Here is a 23,000-nt window from a genome sequence, read left to right as displayed (position 1 = left end):
TGTGTCTGAACCAGGAACCTAATGAAAACGGCTTATATCTCTATCCTACTGTGATGAGCATCTTGAGTCATCCTCTTCCTCCATCAGTAATTCCCTTTTCCTGTTTCCTTCTCCTAGCACTCCAGTTCTCGCCTGAATTACCAAAGCAGCGTTCAGGGATCCTCTCAGTCCCAGAGCACACTTGGCTACTCTTCCTCGTCTCAGCAGAGCTCACAGTACCACCCATCTCACCAGGCCCACCGGTACTGACCAGCTCCCGTTGGGCCAGGCCAGCCCAGCCCAGAGCACAGGCTCCAGCAATATGTCTGCATTGAAAAGAACCAAAAAAATGCAAACTATGATGCCATTTAAAACTCATACACATGGGAGGAAAACCTTATATACTGAGCATTGTGCAGGACTGATAGCTCTTCTTTATTGACTTAAAGAAGATTCTTGTGAAGTTTCCCCAGCACCCCTTCCCTGCATGTGTTCCATTGTGACTTCTCTGATAAAGCGTCTGATCTAATCCCAGCACTTCTGTAACCTTCAGCATTTCTTTGAAGGATTTCCTGGTGCACCTTTCTCATGCTGTAGCAATCACTATGGTTTATCTTTTCAAAGCTCTTTTAATAGGATTTTAATGTTTTAGAAACAGGATTCCAGTGGTGTATAGTTTTATACTTCATGAACTGATTTAGCAACACAGGTAAAAATGCACCTTTTAAAGCACTACGTTTTCACAGACAATAACTGTTCTGCTCATGGAAGTCTTAAACAGAAACTGTTACTGTCCCAAAGTACTTTACTATTACGTTCGTATTTATCTAGTTTCAGGGAAGGTCTAATAAAAAGACAAGCGGTGGGACAGAGGGAACCTACAACCAAAAACTGCCTAGATCTTTGCAGTTATGTGCTTTATGCCACGAAGAACTGAAGTATGTGGTAATTTTTATAGAATCATTCATATGGAACTGAGTTCCCAGCATCATCTTATTCTGAATAGCATTCAGTAATTAAGAATTACAATTTTAACCTTCATGTAGCTAAGTCTACCTTAAAAAGGGTTTCAAGAGCTTTGTACAGTCTCGATGGCCCACACCAAAACGCTGAAGAGAGTAACAACTGCACTAGGATTTCTGTAAGGAGTAATTTTGATCAAAAGACGTGTTACTTCCCTTTGAAGGAAAAGTTTTTAGTGTGTATTGTACATAAAGTCGGCTTCTCTAAAGAACCATTGGTTTCTTCACATCTGGGTCTGCGTGAGTAACTTTCTTGCATAATCAAGGTTACTCAAGTAGAAGCCTGAAAATTAATCTGCTTTTAAAATAAAGAGCAGTGTTCTCCATTCGTATTTGTATTAGATATAGAGTGACTATTTTTAAAGCATGTTAAAAATTTAGGTTTTATTCATGTTTAAAGTATGTATTATGTATGCATAATTTTGCTGTTGTTACTGAAACTTAATTCTATCAAGAATCTTTTTCATTGCACTGAATGATTTCTTTTGCCCCTAGGAGAAAACTTAATAATTGTGCCTAAAAACTATGGGCGGATAGTATAAGACTATACTAGACAAAGTGAATATTTGCATTTCCATTATCTATGAATTAGTGGCTGAGTTCTTTCTTAGCTGCTTTAAGGAGCCCCTCACTCCCCAGAGTCAAAAGGAAATGTAAAAACTTAGAGCTCCCATTGTAATGTAAGGGGCAAGAAATTTGTGTTCTTCTGAATGCTACTAGCAGCACCAGCCTTGTTTTAAATGTTTTCTTGAGCTAGAAGAAATAGCTGATTATTGTATATGCAAATTACATGCATTTTTAAAAACTATTCTTTCTGAACTTATCTACCTGGTTATGATACTGTGGGTCCATACACAAGTAAAATAAGATTAGACAGAAGCCAGTATACATTTTGCACTATTGATGTGATACTGTAGCCAGCCAGGACCTTACTGATCTCAGCATAATAATGCTCACTAATAATGAAGTCTGCATAGTGACACTCATCAAGACTGAAGATGAAGCAGGTTACGTGCTCCATTGGAAGGAGTTTCTGATAGTCTCCTGCTGTTTTACCCCTTCCATTTTTTAAAATAAGAAATTAGCAGCCCTCTGCATAATGTAGCTGCCTATATGCAGTTTTATCCTGTGCCCTAAAGCCTCACTGTCCAGAGCTGTTGGTCATCAGATGCTTATTGCACCCTCACCATGTGCCTGGTGCCCTGCTGGGTAGAGAACACAGAGGACAGGGCATACTTCTTGTCCTTAAGGAGCTTGTGATCTGTGACAGTAAGCCCTCCTGGGATGTCTGTGCCATGTGATTGACTTACAAGTGAAACTGTCTTATAATATGAAGGTCTTTTTGTTTACTTCTAAACCCACTTGGGTAGTTACTATCCCCAAATCTGTTCTGTAAATAATATTATGGAAGGGTTTCTATGTCAGTCTACCTTAGAGAAAGCCAGTGATTCAATATCACAAAAGGCATTGACGTATCTTTGAAATGTTCACAGCAGCCTTTTAACAACAACTGGGTGGTCCTTGTAGGCAGAACATACTCTCCTAAGTGGTTGTAGGAAATTGCAAGGAAAATAGAAGGTCTGTTCTTGCTCTCAAGGAGGTTACCTTTAATAAAAGAAGACAAACCCAGATAGATATGTAAACCAAAATACTATGCCCCTTAATACTTTATAAGCAGCATTGTTAAATAGTTCTTACGCTTATACATTCACAGAACTACCCTGTTTTCCTTGTATATAATGACTTTTGCTGGCAGAACTGAAATATAAACTGTAAGGGGATTTCGTCAGTTGCTCCCAGTATACAATATCCTCCAGGACATAGCCAGAAATCTCCATTCCACACATGACTGAGTTCCTATCCCTGCACTGGTACTGGCTCTTTTCTCCTCTTTCCTTGCCTCAGGGTTCGTGCTACCCACTGATTCCCTTTACCCTTAGTAATAATTTTGGATCATTTTCTTTCCTTTAAAGGGGAACAAAGCCTTTTTTTTTTTTGAGACGGAGTGTTGCTCTGTCACCCAAGCTGGAGTGCAGTGGCACGATCTTGGCTCACTCCAACCTCCACCTTCCAGGTTCAAGTGATTCTCCTGCCTCAGCCTCCCGAGTAGCTGGGACTACGGGCACGCACCACCACGTCTGGCTAATTTTTGTATTTTTAGTAGAGATGGGGTTTCACCCTATTGGTCAGGCTGGTCTTGAATTCCTCACCTCAGGTCATCCGCCTGTCTCGGCCTCCCGAAGTGCTGGGATTATAGGTGTGAGCCACCGCACCCAGTTGGGAACAAAGCCTTTTTAACACACGTAAGGGCCCTCAAACCGTGGGACCTCTAAGGAGACCTTTGAAGCTTTTTGAGGGCAAACTTTACCTTTGTGGTCCCCAAATGATGGCATTTCTCTTTGAAATTTATTAGATACTGTTATGTCCCCCAAGGGTACAGGAGGGGCATCCCTCAGCCTATGGGAACACCCAAACTAGGAGGGGTTATTGACAGGAAGGAATGAATCCAAGTGAAGGCTTTCTGCTCTTCGTGTTACAAACCAGTTTCAGAGTTAGCTTTCTGGGGAGGTGTGTGTTTGTGAAAGGAATTCAAGTGTTGCAGGACAGATGAGCTCAAGGTAAGGTAGCTTTGGCAGCAGGGCTGATACTATGAGGCTGAAACAATCCTTGTGATGAAGTAGATCATGCAGTGACATACAAAGACCAAGGATTATGTATATTTTTATATCTCTGTGGTTTTGAAACTTTAGTACTTAGAATTTTGGCCTTCTGCACTACTCTTTTGCTCTTACGAACATAATGGACTCTTAAGAATGGAAAGGGATGACATTTACCTATGTGTGCTGCCTCATTCCTGGTGAAGCAACTGCTACTTGTTCTCTATGCCTCTAAAATGATGCTGTTTTCTCTGCTAAAGGTAAAAGAAAAGAAAAAAATAGTTGGAAAATAAGACATGCAACTTGATGTGCTTTTGAGTAAATTTATGCAGCAGAAACTATACAATGAAGGAAGAATTCTATGGAAATTACAAATCCAAAACTCTATGATGATGTCTTCCTAGGGAGTAGAGAAAGGCAGTGAAATGGCAGTTAGACCAACAGAGGCTTGAAGGATTCAAGTACAAGTAATATTTTGTATAAAACATAGCAGTTTAGGTCCCCATAATCCTCAAAAATAGTCACAAATATAACAAAGTTCATTGTTTTAGGGTTTTTAAAAAACGTGTTGTACCTAAGGCCATACTTACTCTTCTATGCTATCACTGCAAAGGGGTGATATGTATGTATTATATAAAAAAAAAAACCCTTAATGCACTGTTATCTCCTAAATATTTAGTAAATTAATACTATTTAATTTTTTTAAAGATTTGTCTGTGTAGACACTAAAAGTATTACACAAAATCTGGACTGAAGGTGTCCTTTTTAACAACAATTTAAAGTACTTTTTATATATGTTATGTAGTATATCCTTTCTAAACTGCCTAGTTTGTATATTCCTATAATTCCTATTTGTGAAGTGTACCTGTTCTTGTCTCTTTTTTCAGTCATTTTCTGCACGCATCCCCCTTTATATGGTTATAGAGATGACTGTAGCTTTTCGTGCTCCACTGCGAGGTTTGTGCTCAGAGCCGCTGCACCCCAGCGAGGCCTGCTCCATGGAGTGCAGGACGAGCTACTGCTTTGGAGCGAGGGTTTCCTGCTTTTGAGTTGACCTGACTTCCTTCTTGAAATGACTGTTAAAACTAAAATAAATTACATTGCATTTATTTTATATTCTTGGTTGAAATAAAATTTAATTGACTTTGCTTCTGTGTGGATTTTTTAAATATAAAAAAAATCTTATAATAAGGCTTAGTGGCTGGACACAGTGGCTCATGCCTGTAATCTCAGCACTTCGGGAGGCTGAGGTAGAAGAATTGCTTGAGGCCAGGAGTTGGAGACCTGACTGGACAACATAGTGAGACCCCATCTAGCGTTAAAATTTTATCTGTGTGCCTAGAAGCTTTTATAATTACACTTTTCCTGCAGAGATACGAAGTCTTTCTGTGAGTTCTAATATGTTATTTTGTTCAGGATGCTATGATGTCATAATACTGCAAAGCAAGCAAGGCCTGCAAATACCTCATAAGTAAAATTGCAGGTTTTTATACATCTTTAGGAGAAACATCTTTTTAAAAAAATATAAATGAGAATTAGAAAAGACTAATAAGCATTTTGTGGATGGGGTTGGATTGGGAGTTTCTTGTTTTATAAGAGCACTCTGTGGTACCTGGCTGCTCCTTCTATAATTTGTTTGATGAATCTTCTATGGTTGTTACTCCAATATCCAAAGGCATCACAGAGTGAACTGAACAATGTTTAAGTGGCATGAATACAGAGCTTTCATTTCTATTTAAAATAATCACATCCCACTTGGCTGCTTCTCTTTTTGGCACAGATTTCATACTCAGTGCTGTGCTATTTGTAGGATAGATCTTCTGCAAAGCTGTTCATTGGCCTCGGCTGCGTTTCTCACCAGCCATCTGGGTAAGACAAAGCAGATGACTGGACAAACCCTTTACCACTCCTGGGAGAACTGGGAAGGTGATGTCCATCACCTTAACAGACTGTAAATTCTTGGGAACAGGGCCTGAGTTTTATTCCCCTCTTGCCCAGCAGCTGTCAAGATGCCCAACACAGAGCAGTTGCTTAATATGGTAAGTCATAGCATCACTTGTACACTTGCATAGAATTCCTGGGTCATGTAATATTTGTTTATGGATAAGGATGAACATAATTTTGTTCCATGAATAATAAAAATACTAGAAACAGGCATCACCTTTTTTTTCTTTTGGATAGATGGCATCTGTGTTGTCCAGGCTGAAGTGCAGTGGCTATTCACAGGTGTGATCATAACACTTTGTGGCCTCAAACTCCTGGCCTCGCTGGATCCTCCTTCCTCAGCTTCCCAGGCACAGGCCACTATGTCTGGCTTGCTTGCTTGCTTGCTTTTTTTTTTTTTTTTTTTTTTTTTTTAAGACAGGGTCTTTTGTTCTGTCACCCCGGCTGGAGTGCAGTGGCCTGATCATAGCTCACTGCAGCCTCAACCTTCTGGGCTCAAGCAATCCTCTCACCTCAGCCCCCCTAGTAACTGGGATCCAGGCATATGCCACCACACCTGGTTATTTTTTAAAAATTTTTATAGAGATGGAGTCTCTATAAAAAGTGTTAGGATATAGGTGTGAGCCACTGCACTTGGCCTGGTTCACTTTCTTAAAATAGGTTTATTTCTATGTTTGACTGCAGAGTCATAATAAAATTCACCCCAAAGGGACAAACAAACAATTCAAATTGCATTTGAATAAAAGAAGTAAGGCCAGGTGTTGTGACTCACACCATTTGTAATCCCAACAATTTGGGAGGCCGAGGTGGGAGGATCACTCAGACCCAGGAGTTTGAGCTCAGCCTGGGCAACATTGTGAGATCCTATCTCTGCAAAAAATAAAAAAAATTAGCCAGGCATGGTGACACATACCTGTAGTCCCAGCTACTTGGGAGGCTAGGGTGAGAGAGTCACTTGAGCCTGGGAGGTTGAGGCTGCAGTGAGCTGTAATCGCACTACTGTACTCCAGCCTGGGCAACAAAATGAGGCCCTGTCTTATTAAAAAAAAAAAAAAAAGATAAATTAGCCATACTTGCCACTCTTCTTTAGAAGCCATCTTTTTTTTTTTTTTTTTTTGAGACAGAGTCTCACTCTGTGGCCTAGGCTGGAGTGCAGTGGTGCAATCTTGGCTCACTGCAACCTCTGCCTCCCGGGTTGAAGCAATTCTCCTGCCTCAGCCTTTCGAGTAGCTGGGACTACAGGCATGTACCACCAAGCCCGGCTAATTTTTTTGTATTTTAGTAGAGACGGTTTCACCACGTTGCCCCCAGGGTGGTCTCCAACTCCTGAGCTCAGGCAATCCGCCCACCTCGGCCTCTCAAAGTGCTAGGATTACAGGTCTGAGCCACCACACTCGGCCAGAAGCCGTCTTTGTTTTGGCTACCTAGAGGTAGGCATTTTAAAGCCTTGTATAGCATCATTTTATCTAGTAGGCAATAGGAAACCAGCTTGGACAAGCAACATACAAACCTAAAAGGAAATTTTGTTTATCTAAATGAGAGAATATAGTATCGGGGAAAGAAATGAAAATGTTGACTTAAAACATCAAAATGTATCTCTTCAGCACATTCTTTGCTGCACAAGCTTTTTCAAAAACTGCTGCTGAGTTTGCACGATGAAGCTGCTGTGGACTGAATATTTGTGTTTTCTCCAAATTCGCACGAAGCCCTAACCCCCCATGCGTCTATATTTGGAGATGGGGCCTTTACAGAGGTAAGTAGGATTAATAAGGGTAGGGCCCTGAACTGACAGGATTGGTGCCCTTATAAGAAGACACCCCAGGGAGCTCATTCCCTCTCCCCTCTTCCCTCGGGGACACAACAAAAAGGTGGGCATCTTCAAGCCAGGAAGACAGCGGATTCTGCCAGACCAAATCTTGGAAGTTTCCAGCCTTCAGAACTGTGAGAAAGTAAATTTCTGCTGTTTAAGCCACCCAGTCTATAGTATTCTGTCATGGCAGCCCGAGCTGACTGATGTGACATCTTACCTTTTAGCTAGCAAAACCAGTTACCCTTGTGATATGGTTTGGCTCTGTGTCCCCACCCAAATCTCATGTTGAATTGCAATCCCCAGTGTTAAGGGACAGACCTGGTGGGAGGTGATTGGGTGGAGGGGACAGATTTCCCCCTTGCTGTTCTCGTGATAGTGAGTTCTCACGAGATCTGTTCGTTTGAAACTGTGTAGCACTTCCCCCTTCGATCTCTTCCTCCTGCTCCAGCCATGTGGGACGCGTTTGTTTCACCTTCACCTTCCACTGTGATTGTATTTCCTGAGGCATCTCCAGAATCAGAAGGCTGTACAGCATGAAAAACCATGAGCTGATTAAACCTCTTTTCTTTATAAATTACCGTGTCTCAGGTATGTATAGGAGTGTGAGAATGGAGTAATACACCTTGCTCGGTCTCTGACTTCTCTCCCTCCTCTATAGAGGTCAGTTGTCCCTGAACTGGTAAGACAGTCCTTACCTTCTGTTTCCTGTCTTTTCCAACATGGTTTTTGCTGACTTAATTTTAACTGAATTCTGAACCCCTCTTTCCTACCAATCTGGTGTGAATTCAAAGGGTCTCCAAGAGTCTCCTGCCCAAAGATTATCCTCACATTTGAACAGGTACATGCACCTACTGCACACACCTGGAGATTATTCTTCTGTCTTCCTAAAAATTACTAATGTTCCTGGGAAGAACAACTGTAAATGTGTCCCCATCACCCCCTGTCCAGATCGTCAGTCCATAAATACCTACTGTGAACTGGGCACTATGCTGGAAAATTGGAGACGCCAACATGGCCAATGTGTGTAAGATATTCCCAGCCCTGTAACTAGAGTTGAAGAAGGGCAAAGACCTAAGGCAGGTCATGAGACAACAAGACAGTGCGATAAGGACTAAACAAGAGAGCATGGAGGAGTGGGACAGCTGCCTGGGGGGTCACAGCGTGTGTCAAAGACAGATGTTTGACAGAGTGAACCAGAGGGTAAGGACTCCAGGCAAAGAAAGAAGCATGAACGAGTGAGGTGTATGTGAGAACAGCAAGAACTTGAGAATGATGTGTGTGTATGTGTGTCTGGGTGGGGGAGAGAAGAAAGGCTGGAGATGAATCTGGAAAGACCACATGAATTTCAAATTTGCATCTTAGGAAGATCTCTTTCATGGTGGTGGGGAGGATGGGCTGAATAGGTCCAACTCACAGCATATCAGAAGGCAGACTGGAGACTAGGCAGACAAGCTTCAAATATTTCAGACTTGTACCTTCCTCCAGCCTTGTCCTCTGCATTTATTCTCTTACATGAATTCGCTGGTCCTGAGAAAATCCTCTTTTAAAAAAAGATCTGGGCCCATAGGCTGGGGACAGTGGCTCACACCTGCAATCCCAGTGTTTTGGGAGGCCAAGGTGGGAGGATTGCTTGAGGCCAGAGTTCTAGACTGCAGTGAGCTATGATCACACCACTGCACTTCAGCCTGGGTGACAGAGCAAGATTCAGTCTCAAATGAATGAATGAATGAAAGATCTGGGTCCTCCAAGCAAATGCTATCCTATACTGAACTTTCCTCTTTGGTTGGAAGATTAACCTACATTAATTCAAACTTGTAGGCCTTAAGTTATAAACCAGATGGTGCCAGATTTCACTGAATTCAGCTGCAGATGCCGTGTTTGGGTTGTAAACGTCTGATTAAATTTTTCTTTTTTCTTTATTGATATATTTTATAAGTAGTAAAATGCACAGATCTTAAGTGTACAGTTCAAAGAATTTTGATGAATGTGCACACCCATATAACCAAAATCCAAATCAAGAAATAGAATCTTTTCATTACCATCCCCTCAAATTCCTTCATTGTCATTTGTAGTCAATACCTCCTCACCCACAGAGGCAACCACCGTTCTGATGTCTACCATCATATTTTAATTTTGCCTTTTTAGAATTTCATACAAATGGAATCATATAGTTTGTACTCATTTTGTCTAGGTTCTTTTGTACAAAATGTTGTTTTTAACAGTTATCTATGTTGAGTATATTAGTGATTTGTTTCTTTTTATTGCTGTATAATATTCCATTACATAAATATACCACAATTTGTTTAGTCATTTGTCTGTTACTGGACATTTGGGTTGTCTCCAGTTTGGGGCTATTATGAATGAAGCTGCTGTGAACATTTTTGTATAAATTTTGTGGACAAATGTTTCCATTTCTCTTGGGTATACTTAGAATTGTTGAGTTATAGGACAGCTGTATACTTCATCTTTAAAAAATGTCTAGCATTTTCCAATATTATTATTGTATCCTTTTATAATCTACGAGCAGTGCATAAGAATTTCAATTGTTTTACATTTTTAATAACATTTAATGTTGTCAATGTTTTTAATTTCAGCAATTCAAATGGGTCTGTAATGGTATGTCGTTATAGCTTTAATTTACATTTCCCAACTAACTAATGAGGTTGAGCACTTTTCCACGTGCTTTTTGGCCATTTGTATTATCTTTTTTTTTCTGTAGTGTCTAAGACTTTTTCCACTTTTAAAAGTTTTATTATTGATTTGTAAGCATTCTTTATATGTTTTGAATATAAGTCCTATGTCAGATGCATGCAGCGTAAAATTTTTTTTATTGTTTTAATAATGTCAATTTTAACATCAAAATGTTAATTTTGATGAGGTAGAGTTCATCCCTTTTTTCTGTGTCTGTGTGTATTCTGAGAAACCCTTGACTATCATATGAAGATACCTTTACTTTCTTCTAGATTTATGGTTTTAGCATTTTTGTTTAGGTCTCAGGTCCATTTCGAAATAATTTTTGTGTAATATGTGAGGTGGAGGTCAGGGATCAGTTTTTTCATATGAATACTCAGTTATCTAGCTACTATTTGATAAAAAGACATTCCTTTCTGCATTAGTCCATTTTTGCGTTACTATAAAGGAAAACCTGAGACTGGGTAATTTATAAAGAAAAGAGGTTTAATCGGCTCATGGTTCTGCAGGCCATACAAGCATGGCACCAACATCTGCTCGGTTTCTGGTGAGGGCCTCAGGAAGCTTACAATCATGGCAGAAGGCAAAGTGGGAGCAGGCACATTACATGGCGAGAGTGGGAGCAAGAAAGAAAGGAGGGAGATCCCAGGCTTTTAAACAACCAGGTCTCACATGAACTCACTTATCACCATGGGGATGGTGCTAAGTCATTCATGAGGGATTGGTCCCCGTGATCCAATCTCCTCCCACCAGGTCCCACCTCCAACACTGGGAATCACATTTCAACATGAGATTTGGAGGAGACAAATAACCAAACTATGTCATTTTGCCTCACTGAATTGCATTTGTGTCTTTGTTGAAAAATCAATTGACTGTATGTGTGTGAATCTATTTGTGGACTTCTTATTCTGTTCCATTTAACTGTTGTCTATCCTAAGCCACTATTATTATTATTATTATTATTATTATTATTATTATTATTATTATTGAGACAAGCTCTCACTCTGTTGCCCAGGCTGGAGTGCAGTGGTGTGATCACAGCTCACTGCAGCCTCAACTTCCCAGGCTCAAGTGATCCTCTCACCTCAGCCTCTGAAGTAGCTGTGACTACAGGCATGTGCCACCACGCCCAGCTAATTTTATTTTATTTTTTGTAGAGATGAAGTCTTGCCATGTTCCTCAGCCTGATTTGAAACTCCTGGGCTCAAGTGAATCTTCTGCCTCGGCCTCCCAAACTGTTGGGATTACAACCATGAGCCACCACGTCTGGCCTCACTATTTTAAGTATTGGAATTTTAAAATAAGTCTTAAAACAAGATAGGGTAAGCTTTATAACTTTGTTCTTATTTGCAGGATTATTTTGGTTACTCTAGAGTCTACACGTTTCCATATATATTTTAAAATCAGCTTGTCAATTTCTACAAATAAAACCTGCTATGTTTTGATTGGAATTTCCTTGTATCTATAAATCAACTTGGAGAGAACTGGTATCTTAATAATATAGAGTTTCCTGGTCCATGAACATGATGTATCTCTCCATTTATTTAGGTCTTCTTCAATGTTTCTTAGCAATGTTTTGCAAATTTCAGTGTAGAGGTCTGCAGATCTTTTGTTAAATTTATTCCTAGATGTTGATGCTACTAGAAATGGCACTTTTAAAATTTCGTTTTCTACTTATTTGTTGCCAGTAAATAGAAGTACAATTGTTTTTTGCATTTTGCCTTTATAGCCTGCAACCTTGCTAAATTCACTGTTCTAGAAGTGTTTATGTGTGTGTGAGGAAGGATTCCTTTAGTTTTCTACATACACAAACAGGTCATCTGTGAAAAAAGACACTGGTACTTCTCCCTTTCCAATCTGTATAACTTTTATTTATTTATTTATTTATTTTCCCTAAATGCATGGGCTAGTACTCCTAATACAATATCAAAAGAATTGGTGTGAGTGAATACCTTGTAATGGTCTGAATCTTGGAGGGAAAGTGTTTCATATTTCACCATTAGGTATGGTGTTCGATAAAAGTTTTTTGGTCGGGCGAGGTGGCTCACACCTGTAATCCCAGCACTCTGGGAGGCCAAGGCGGGTGGATCACAAGGTCAGGAGTTCGAGACCAGCCTGGCCAACATGGTGAAACCCCGTCTCTACTAAAAATACAAAAATTGGCTGGGCATGGTGGCAGGTGCCTGTAATCCCAGCTACTCAGGAGGCTGAGGCAGGAGAATCGTTTGAACCTGGGAGGTGGAGGTTGCAGTGAGCCGAGATTGTGCCATTGCACTTCAGCCTGGGTGACAGGGCGAGACTCCATCTCAAAAAAAAAAAAAAAAAAAAATTTCACTGATGCCCTTTATTGAATTGAATAAGTTTTTTTCTACTCCTATTTTGATAACAGTTCTCATCATGAACTGATGCTAACTTTTGTTAAATGCCTTTTCTATATATGAAATGATCATAACTTTTTTCTCCTTTATGTTGTTAATGTAATGAATCACATTGATTTTTGAATGCTGGAAGAACCTTGCATTCATTCCTGGGAGAAACACAGAGGATAAGGCAATGGTAAGGTGGAGGCAGAGATTGGAATGATGAGACCACAAGGCAAGGAATGCCTTCATCTATGTTGTAATATAAATATTTCTCATAAGATATATACGTAGATATGAAATTACCAACTGAAAGGCAATGAGCACCTTTAATTATGATAACATTTATGGAGCTAATATTTATTGAGCACTTCTGATACGCACTTTATATATATTAATTCATTTCATTCTCACAAGTGTATGAAGTAGACACTATTATTATCCCCATTTCTTAAAAATTTATTTCAATTATTTTTTGTTTTTAGAGATGGGGTTCTTGCTATTGCCCAGGTTATCCCCATTTAAAAATTTTTAAATTATTATTATTATTGTTATTGTTTTTAGAGATGGGGGTCTTGCCCCTGTTGCCAAGGCTGGAGTGCAGTGGGATGATCACAGTTCACTGCAACCTTGAATTCCTGGGCACAAGTTATCCTCCTATCTCAGTCTCCCAAGTAGCTAGGACTGCAGGTGTGTGCCACTAGGCCTGGCTAATTTTTTTTTTTTTAATACTTTAAGTTCTAGGGTACACGTGCACAACGTGCAGGTTTGTTACATATGTATACATGTGCCATGTTGGTGTGCTGCACCCATTAACTCGTCATTTACATAAAGTATATCTCCCAATGCTATCCCTCCCCCCTCCCCCTACCCCACAACAGGCCCCAGTGTGTGATGTTCCCCTTCCTGTGTCCAAGTGTTCTCATTGTTCAATTCCCACCTATAAGTGAGAACATGCGGTGTTTGGTATTTTGTCCTTGCAATAGTTTGCTGAGAATGATGGTTTCCAGCTTCATCCATGCCCCTACAAAGGACATGAACTCATCATTTTTTATGGCTGCATAGTATTCCATGGTGTATATGTGCCACATTTTCTTAATCCAATCTATCATTGATGGACATTTGGGTTGGTTCCAAGTCTTTGCTATTGTGAATAGTGCCGCAATAAACCTAAGTGTGCATTTGTCTTTATAGCAGCATGATTTATAATCCTTTGGGTATATACCCAGTAATGGGATGGCTGGGTCAAATGGTATTTCTAGTTCTGGATCCTTGAGGAATCGCCACACTGTCTTCCACAATGGTTGAACTAGTTTACAGTCCCACCAACAGTGTAAAAGTGTTCCTACTTCTCCACATCCTCTCCAGCACCTGTTGTTTCCTGACTTTTTAATGATCGCCATTCTAACTGGTGTGAGATGGTATCTCATTGTGGTTTTGATATGCATTTCTCTGATGGCCAGTGATGATGAGCATTTTTTCATGTGTCTTTTGGCTGCATAAGTGTCTTCTTTTGAGAAGTGTCTGTTCATATCCTTCGCCCACTTGTTGATGGGGTTGTTTGTTTTTTTCCTGTAAATCTGTTTATGTTCTTTGTAGATTCTGGCTATCAGTATCACCTGGGAACTTTTTAGAACTAAATCTTCTCAGGCCCCACTCTAAACCACTGAATCTGAAACTCTGGGGGTGGGACTCAGCAATCTGCTTTAATGAGCCTCCAGGTGATTCTGATGCATGCTGGAGTTTAAGAACCAGTGACTTATGAGTACTCTTCTCACACATTCTCCCAAATTACTTTCGAAAATGGCTGTACTAATTACACCCCCACTAACAGTGTATGAGAATGCCCATATCCTTTGGCCTTACCAAAACTCACTGTGAGCAATCTTTAAATTACGAACCAATCTGATTGGCAAAAAGTAGTGTGTCCTGTGCCTTAAAAAAAAATTTTGGTCCTCCTTCTAATGAGAGAGTCAGGTTCTGTCCCTTCTCCTACCTCTGCTTGGGCCTCCTTTCCTTCCTAGTCTCTGGCTCCACTGAGGATTCTCAATTTTAACACTACTAACCTTGACAGGCAACTATGGGTGCTTGAGCACTAAATTAATCTTAGTCTTTGGGAGTAGGGAGAAGAAAATAGGTGATCTTACATAAATACAAAAATCTCATTTTGTTTGCTGAGCATAAAATACAACATCTTTTTTAGTTCAACTTTTGTCAATGAAAATCTTTTTCTAAATTGTACATTTTTCTTAGATCTTTGTGTACTTATGAGTGCCAGCTGCTGAACATGAATGAAGATCATAGGTAGAGGAGCAGAGGAGTTTTGAAGTCATCCCAAGTGTCTTAGTCCATTTCGTGCTGCTATAACAGAATATCACAGACTGGGTAATTTATAAAGAAAAGAAATTTATTTCTCACAGTCTGGAGGCTGGGAAGTCCAAGATCAAGGTGCTGGCATCTGACAAGGGCCTGCATGCTTCATCATCCCATGGCAGACTGCAGAAAGGCCAGAGAGTGTGAGAGAGCAAGAGGGAACAGAATTTGCTTTGATAACAAATCCAGTCTTGTGGTAACAAACCCATGCTGCAATAAAGACATTAGTCTATTCATTCCTGAGAGCAGAGACTTCATGACCTAATCACCTCTTTTTTTTTTTTTTTTTTTTTTGAGACGGAGTTTCGCTCTTTCGCCCAGGCTGGACTGCAGTGGCGCTGTCTTGGCTCACTGCAAGCTCCACCTCCCGGGTTCACGCCATTCTCCTGCCTCAGCCTCCCGAGTAGCTGGGACTACAGGCGCCCGCTACCACGCCCGGCTAATTTTTTTTGTATTTTTAGTAGAGACAGGGTTTCACCGTGTTAGCCAAGATGGTCTCGATCTCCTGACCTCGTGATCCGCCCGCCTCGGCCTCCCAAAGTGCTGGGATTACAGGCGTGAGCCACCGCGCCCAGCCGACCTAATCACCTCTTATCTCACCTCTCAACACTGTTGCATTGGAGATTAAGTTTCCAACACATGAAATTTGAGGGATACATTCCAACCATAGCACCAAGGGATAACCTCTCAAGTATTTGGGGAAAACTACTCCCTGATCCCAACATTTTTTTCAGGGTGGTTACCTTTCTTATGACCAAGAACAGGAAAAAGTTGATTGACCCAGGGCCCCTATCAGTTGATTTCATGGCATTTCCCATTGTATTTTTCCCACATTGCAGAAAAGACCATAAACATTGAGCTGCTTAAATCTCACAGGGATGATTTCTACTTATACTTCCTAGTAATGATTGAGTTGTGATATTCACCTCTGCCTCAGCTGTATCAACACAGCATGACAAAAATTACACGGGTTTTGGAGACTAGACACACTTAGGCTTGATGCCCAGCCCTTTCTATACACAGGGCTCTGAGCTGTGTGATCTTAGATAAGTTACTGAACCTCTGTGATCTTGTTTTAGTCCTTGTCAAATGCCAAAAATATTATTTACCTCACAGAGTTTACAGAATAAATGAGATGAGTGCTGACCAGAGTGCCTGCCCCAAAGTAGATTCTGAATAAATATGATTTCCTTTGGTTTGCACTTTCCTCTCCAACTTCTGTGTTTGAATCTGTGTTTCTAGTATAAATACAAAGTTCAATGTTCTTTATCTCCTTCATTTGATGATCACTCTTTTGACAGAGGATGACATCTGTATCTGTACAGATGACTGGGTTAGCCATTTTGCATGAGTGAATGCCAAGAAGGGCACCACTCCTCGTGCCTGGAGGCATTCCCACAAGCAGCGGGCTGTCCAACAAGCACCAGGACCTGGCTTCATTAACGAAACTCTTGAAAAAATGAGGCACTCTTTTGTTGTGTTTTGGTGACATCACCCATCACCTCCTTTTGTTCCTCCTACATCAGCAAGGAAAAGTTCACTAAATTGTATTTCTATACCATTTATAGCTGTGGTTCTACCAAGGAGCAACTATCTTTTCTGGACGTTCAATTGCAACATTAAAAAGAAGCCACCCAGCTAGTCTGGATCCACCTGCATCTGAGATTCTAAAGGGAACATAATTCCTCTATTTCTACACTGTGGTTCTCATAAATTACCATCCGTACTTCCAACTCCTAAGTGATCATATCTTATAAGGCGTGGCCTAGAGATTCACAAAACTTCTCAGTTGCCAGTACTTTTGTACCGTTTATATGAGAAAGACAGCCAGGAACAAAAATAACTTGTGAATTTTGAGAGAAAAAGAGATCATCCATCTGCAAGTAGACAGCACAAGGGGTCCCTCTGATTACAGCAGCCCCTAGTGCACGAGTGGGTGGGAGTAGGAACTCTCAGATTTCAGTTAGCTGGTAAGCACCACTCGGTGAGGCCTGATGGAGTTGGAGCAGTCAAGGTCTATAAACTCTAAACCAATAAAACAGGGCTCCCTTCCAAAGTCCTGCCCTTAGGAGAAACTGCTGGAAGCATCATCCCAATTGAGCAGGGCAAAGGAAAGAGAAGGTTCAAATGCAAGTGGAAAAGGGAGAAGAGGTGGATCCAGAAAACCCAAAGGCATATTTCTCCCTAGAGAATTTGTAGAAACTTTCTAAGTTTTTCTAACCAGGAGCATTTCAATTCTACCCACACATATCTAAACATCTTCTAAAAAACACTTTCTCAATTTTCCAATGGCTTAAAAAAATCCACACATATTTTCACATAGGCAAGGAATATATTTGTATTTGCTTTTCTGCTCATACTATGTTTATAAAAGCTTTTTTGACCTGAGCAAGGAGCTTAGCATTAATTGTAATATATGAGTATACATATTTTCATATATAATTACTTATTTGCTTAATAGGAACTTGAACAAGATGACTCAAAAAAGAATTACAGGCCAAATGGAGGCTTCTACCAACTAAATGGTATGAAAAGTTCTCCTGCAATTGTTTGTAACACGTTCTTTTTTTTTTCTAGCAAATTCTCAATGAGGAAAAATAGGTTTTGAAGCAGAAATTCTTGTGTGTGTTTCATGTAGTCTTTTTTTTTTTTTTTTGGAGACACAGTCTCGCTCTGTCACCCAGGCTGGAGTGCAGTGACACAATCTTGGCTCAGCGGTGACACGATCTTGGCTCACTGCAACCTCCACCCCCCCCGGGTTCAAGTGATTCTCATGCCTCAGCCTCCCCAGTAGCTGGGATTACAGGCACCGACCACCAGGCCTGGCTAATTTTTATATTTTTAGTACAGATGGAATTTCACTATATTGGCCAGGCTGGTTTCAAACTCCTGACCTCAAGTGATCTGCCCACCTCAGCCTCCCAAAGTGCTGGGATTACAGGCGTGAGCCACTGTGCCCAGCCTCATGTAGTCTTACAACTGCCTGGTGACTTTTCTCGTATAATTGCCCTGCATTATTTAGTTGTTCTATTCTCATTTAACATTTAGGCTTGTATCTTGACATGAACTAAATAGTGTACTTGTTAGAGCAAGTACCGTATTTCTGTTTTTGTTCACCTTTGAATCTCCCCAGGGCCCTGTACATATAATGAATGTCCAATTACATTGTTTACGTGAGCTATAGAAGATTGATTGGGCATATGGAATAACTTCCTAAATTGAAACTTTTCTAATTGGTTACTAATCTACACAAGGCCATGTAACCTCACTGTTGGAAACCATCAACCATTCCGTTGCCCTTGGGGTGGTTTACATACTACGTGGCTTTTGACAGGCTCTTTGTATTGTTCCTGTCCCTATGTTCTGTGGAAAAAAAAAAATAATAGAAAGGCTGAACATCTTATCTGGGACTTGCCCTGGCCAACAGAATGAACTTTTGTTTGCTCCCAAGGCTAAGGAATAAAAACAATGGCTCTAGAATCTAGATCTTTTCATCAGATATAGTTTCAGCAAACAAGCCAATCTCCAGCCTGCCACGGCCACCACACCCTTTCTAATTCAGAGAAAGCAGCAAATGGATTCTGCAACATTTTACGCTGTTTTAAAAAATCAGCAAAACATTTCAAGTTAAAACTACCTAAAATCCTCCTTATCAATGTATCTGCACATGAAACTTATTAACATCTAAATCCAACTTAAAATATTGTTCAGAAAGCCAAACAAATATTCAATATCCATCCTAGTGTGTCACAAATGAATGTTTCATGAAACACTGCTTTTATTGTCTTGTTCACAGATTTTCACAAGCAAAAAATTACATGGCCAAATACATCTGGAAAATTGTGGGTTAACACCATTAAAAAGAACAGGACCAGGCCAGCGTGGTGGCTCACGCCTGTAATCCCAGTACTTTAGGAGGCTGACCTGGGAGGATTGCTTGAACCCAGGAGTTTGAGACCAGCCTGACCAAAGCGAGACCCCATTTCTACAAAAAGTTAAAAAAAAAAAATAGCCAGGCATGGTGGCTCATGCCTGTAGTCCCAGCTACTCTGAAGGCTGAGGCAGGAGGATCCCTTGAGCCTAGAAGTCAAGGCTGCAGTGAGTTGTGATGGCACCACTGCACTCTAGCCTAGGTAACAGAGCAAGACCCAGTTTCAGAACAAACAAAAAGAATAGGACTTCATCAGAGCCCTTTTTTTTTTTTTTTTTTTTCAGACAGAGTCTTGCTCTGTTATGCAGGCTGGAGTATACTGGCATGATCTTGGCTCCCTGCAACCTCTGCCTACCAGGCTCAAGTGATCCTCCCACCTCAGCCTCCCAAGTAGCTGGGACTACAGGCGTGTGCCACCACACCCGGCTAATTTTTGTTTTTTTCATAGAGACGGGGTTTCACCACGTTGCCCAGGCTGGTCTCGAATTCCTGAGCTCAAGTGATCCACCCGTTTCAGCCTCCCAAAATGGTGGGATTACAGGCATGAGCCATGGTGCCCGGCCAAGCCTTTAATATGCTGATAACATTGTGCATTTCCAGGAAGGTGATATAGTGCAACCTTTCTAAGCTTACTTGGCCAAAGAACTGTTTTTTTCTTGTACCTCCAAAGAATGCTCTGATGAAACAATTTGGAAATCCCTGGTTGCAACAGATGCTGTTGTTGCCTCCTGTCCAGCCATCCTTTGCTTCCTCCTTGCTGTCAGAAGCTTGATTTGTTCACTCTGTCCAGAGTGGCCATGTCCTTCTGAGAAGGGTGGGCCCCTTCCTCAGCTCCAGATAAATACTGATTGGACCTAACCAAATACACTGAACTCTGTCATAGTCCATTTTCTGTGCTATAGTAGAATAGTGCAGTCTGGGTAATTTATTTGGCTCATGGTTCTAAACGATAGGAAGTTCACAATCAAACAGCCATGTTTGGTGAGGCCCTTCTTGCTGTATCATAACATTGTAGAAGGCATCACATGGCCAAAGAGGGCAAGAGTGCGTGAGACAGAGAGAGGAAACAGGGTGAACTCATCCTTTTATCAAGAGCCCACTCCTGCCATAACTAACCCACTCCTGTGAAGATGGCATTAGTCCATTCATGAAGTCAGAGCCCTCATAATCTGATCACCTCTTAAAAGGTCCCATCTCTCTTTTTTTTTTTTTCAGACAGAGTCTTTCTCTGTCACCCAGGCTGGAGTGCATTGGCGCTGTCTCGGCTCATTGCAAGCTCTGCCTCCCAAGTTCACACCACTCTCCTCCCTCAGCCTCCCGAGTAGCTGGGACTACAAGTGCCCGCCACCACACCCAGCTAATTTTTGTATTTTTAGTAGAGATGGGGTTTCACTGCGTTAGCCAGGATGGTCTCAATCTCCTGACCTCATGATCCGCCCACCTCGGCCTCCCAAAGTGCTGGGATAACAGGCATAAGCCACCATGCCTGGCCAACCCATCTCTTAATATTATCACAATGGCAATTAAATGTCAACATGAGTTTTGGAGTGGACATTCAAACTGCAGCATCATGTTTTCTTTGCCAAGCTATTGGTTTAAGCATGGTGTGTTAGTCCATTTGCATTGCTATTAAAAAATATCTAAGACTGGTTAATTTATAAAGAAAAGAGGTTTATTTTGGCTCACTGTGTTAGTCCATTTTCACACTGCTATAAAGACACTACCTGAGACTGGGTAATTTATAAACAAAAGAGGTTTAATTGACTTATAGTTCTGCCTGGCTGGGGAGGCCTCAGGAAACTTACAACCATGGTGGAAGGGGAAGCAGGTGCCTTCTTCACAAGGTGGCAGGAGAGAGAGAGAGAGCACAGAGGAAAATACCACATTTAAACCCTGAGATCTCATGAGAACTCCCTCACTGTCACAAGAACACCACAGGGGAAACTACCCCCATGACCAATCACCTCCTACCAGGTCCTCCCTGAACACATAGGGATTACAATTTTATATGAGATTTGGGTGGGGACACAGAGCCAAACTATACCACTCATGGTTCTGCAGGCTGTACAAGAAGCATGGCACTGGCATCTGCTTCTGGGGAGGTCTCAGGAAGCTTTCAATCATGGCAGAAGGTGAAGGAGGAGCAGTTGTGTCACATGACTAGGGAGAGAGAGGGAGAGAAAGAAGGCAGTGTCCAAGGCTGTTTAAACAACCAGCTCTTGTGTGAACTAATGTCCATGGGGAGCGCACAAAGCCATTCATGAAGGACCCACCCCCATCACCCAAATACCTCCCACTAGGCCCCCCTTCTCCAACATTGAGGGTCACTTCAACATGAGATTTAGAGGGGGCAAGCCTCCTAACCATATCACAGGGAATGTAATAAAATTCTGGCCAATAAAATTGGAGGGAAAATCTTCTAGGGGGGTTCTAGTAGGGTTTGTTTCAGCTTAAAAAGATAACCAAGACACCAAAATTCCCTTTTCTACCTGTGGATATCTGTAAATGAGCTAAGGAACTGTGACAGCCATGTCAGGGCCATGAAGGGAGCTAGTCTCAAAGGCCAAGCTGAAACGTGAGAACCAATGAGAACAAAGGTGGAAAGAGCTGGGATCCTTAAGAACAGCATCGAATCTGTGATCTAATCAGTCCTGGAACTGCCCTATCTCTGGATTTCCTTTCTGGGAGATTATAAATGACCTTATTTTAAAAATAAATTTTATTTAGATTTTCTGATACTAGCAGTCAAAATCATTCAGATACGGGGAGTTTAACCAGTCAGAGACTTATTTAATGCCATTAGCATGATTACAGAACATTCAAAGCATTTTGTTTGGAAATCTTTATTGTTACAAAGCAGTGGCTGATTACAAACTGAGTGTCTCCTGCTATTATTACTAAGGGCTGCCATCTTTATGTTTAGATGAATGACTCTAATATTACTATTTCTAGTGCCTCTGAATTAGGAAATTAAACATTTATTCCTTAGCAGCAGTGACAGGCTGTAATGATAAACAATTCTCAAAGCACTGTAACAGTGAAATCCGTAACTAAGTGCTGAATTCCCTTGGAGCCTCTGAGGAGGCAGAACACGTTTAGCAGCCCTGTGCCTCTGCACGGCTGTCTGTTCGCGTGCTGCAGTGCCTAGGCTAAGACTATTCTCCCCTTCACCTTCAACACATTTGCACTGAGTCCTTCCTATATTGCAAGGCACTAGAAGAGGTTCCTCTCTTCTGCCCTCCAAACCCTAATCCCCCACCCCAAAAGTCCTGCTTAAGCCTCATCTCCATGAAGCCTCCCTAATTACTCCAGCTCCCATTGAGCAACCTTTTTCAAGAATTTATCCTAGATACCCAGGCTGAACCATGTGGTTTGGCATTTAATTGTATACACCTATATTTTTCTCATATTAGCTCATGTTTTCTCTACCCCACCCCATTGAAAGAAAGTAGTAGAGATGGTGGAAATGATAAGAGTACTGTTTAAGTCAGTAGTTCTCTGTCAGACCTTCCTCCCCTTTTTACAAGAAATATTTTTGTTATGCCCTTTATCTATCATGAAAATCATAGATAATATAATTGACCTCCACATGCAATTTCCAAATACATTGATACGATACTCTAGGTGTTAATATTATAAGAGAGAATAAAAGGAAAGTAACTTACGATAAAATGCTGATGCTCCCCAGCTTATGACAGGATTACATCCATCACAAATCTAGGAGCTACTGAGTAAATATCACTTTTGCAGGATCATAAAGTTGAAAAATTGTAAGTCAAACTATCATAAGTTGGAGACCGTCTACAATGTGTATTTCATTGTATAGATGTTTGGCATGACTTCATTAGAAGCTACTACTAACTAGTAAGAAAATGCAGATTGATATGAGGTATTGTATTGGCAACTCAGATGCCACAAGCCATGGTACTATCAGTGATGTGGCTTTATTATTTATTATGATTTTTCTGTAGATCTTTTCTGTGGTCATGGTGCAACTTTCTGAAACGAGGATCAACTTTTGGTGACGTTAAAGAAAAAAAGAAGCCAATCAGCTTAGCTTGATTTATGTGGTAGTCTTATTTCTAGCAATTCAGCATATATTAAAACTATGCAAAAAGTATATTTTGTTTATATGAAAAGTGAGTTAGGTTCACTTTATTAGTTTATAAAATTATAAACAGATTTCAGGACATTCAAAAGTTGTAAAGGCTGCAGGATAATTCATTGTGGGGC

At 40.9% G+C, this 23,000-nt stretch overlaps 1 protein-coding gene and 1 pseudogene across 17 annotated transcripts in view; one reads left to right on the top strand and one right to left on the bottom strand.

The window, feature by feature from the left end:
* The window catches only part of CDK19 (cyclin dependent kinase 19), a 205,878-nt gene extending 201,072 nt beyond the window's left edge, over positions 1 to 4,806 (top strand). For all 17 annotated transcript variants that reach the window (XM_047418470.1, NM_001300964.2, XM_011535630.3 and 14 more), the window contains one exon: positions 118 to 4,806. In XM_047418470.1, coding sequence (XP_047274426.1) covers positions 118 to 249 — 132 coding nt within the window. In that variant the 3' untranslated portion in view covers positions 250 to 4,806. The remainder of the gene's footprint in view (positions 1 to 117) is intronic.
* Positions 16,095 to 16,680, bottom strand: LOC100420531 (abhydrolase domain containing 10, depalmitoylase pseudogene; annotated as a pseudogene).

Source organism: Homo sapiens, chromosome 6, assembly GCF_000001405.40.
Source record: "Homo sapiens chromosome 6, GRCh38.p14 Primary Assembly".
In the NCBI taxonomy this organism is placed as follows: domain Eukaryota; kingdom Metazoa; phylum Chordata; class Mammalia; order Primates; family Hominidae; genus Homo; species Homo sapiens.
This window is presented reverse-complemented; position numbering and strand designations above follow the sequence as displayed.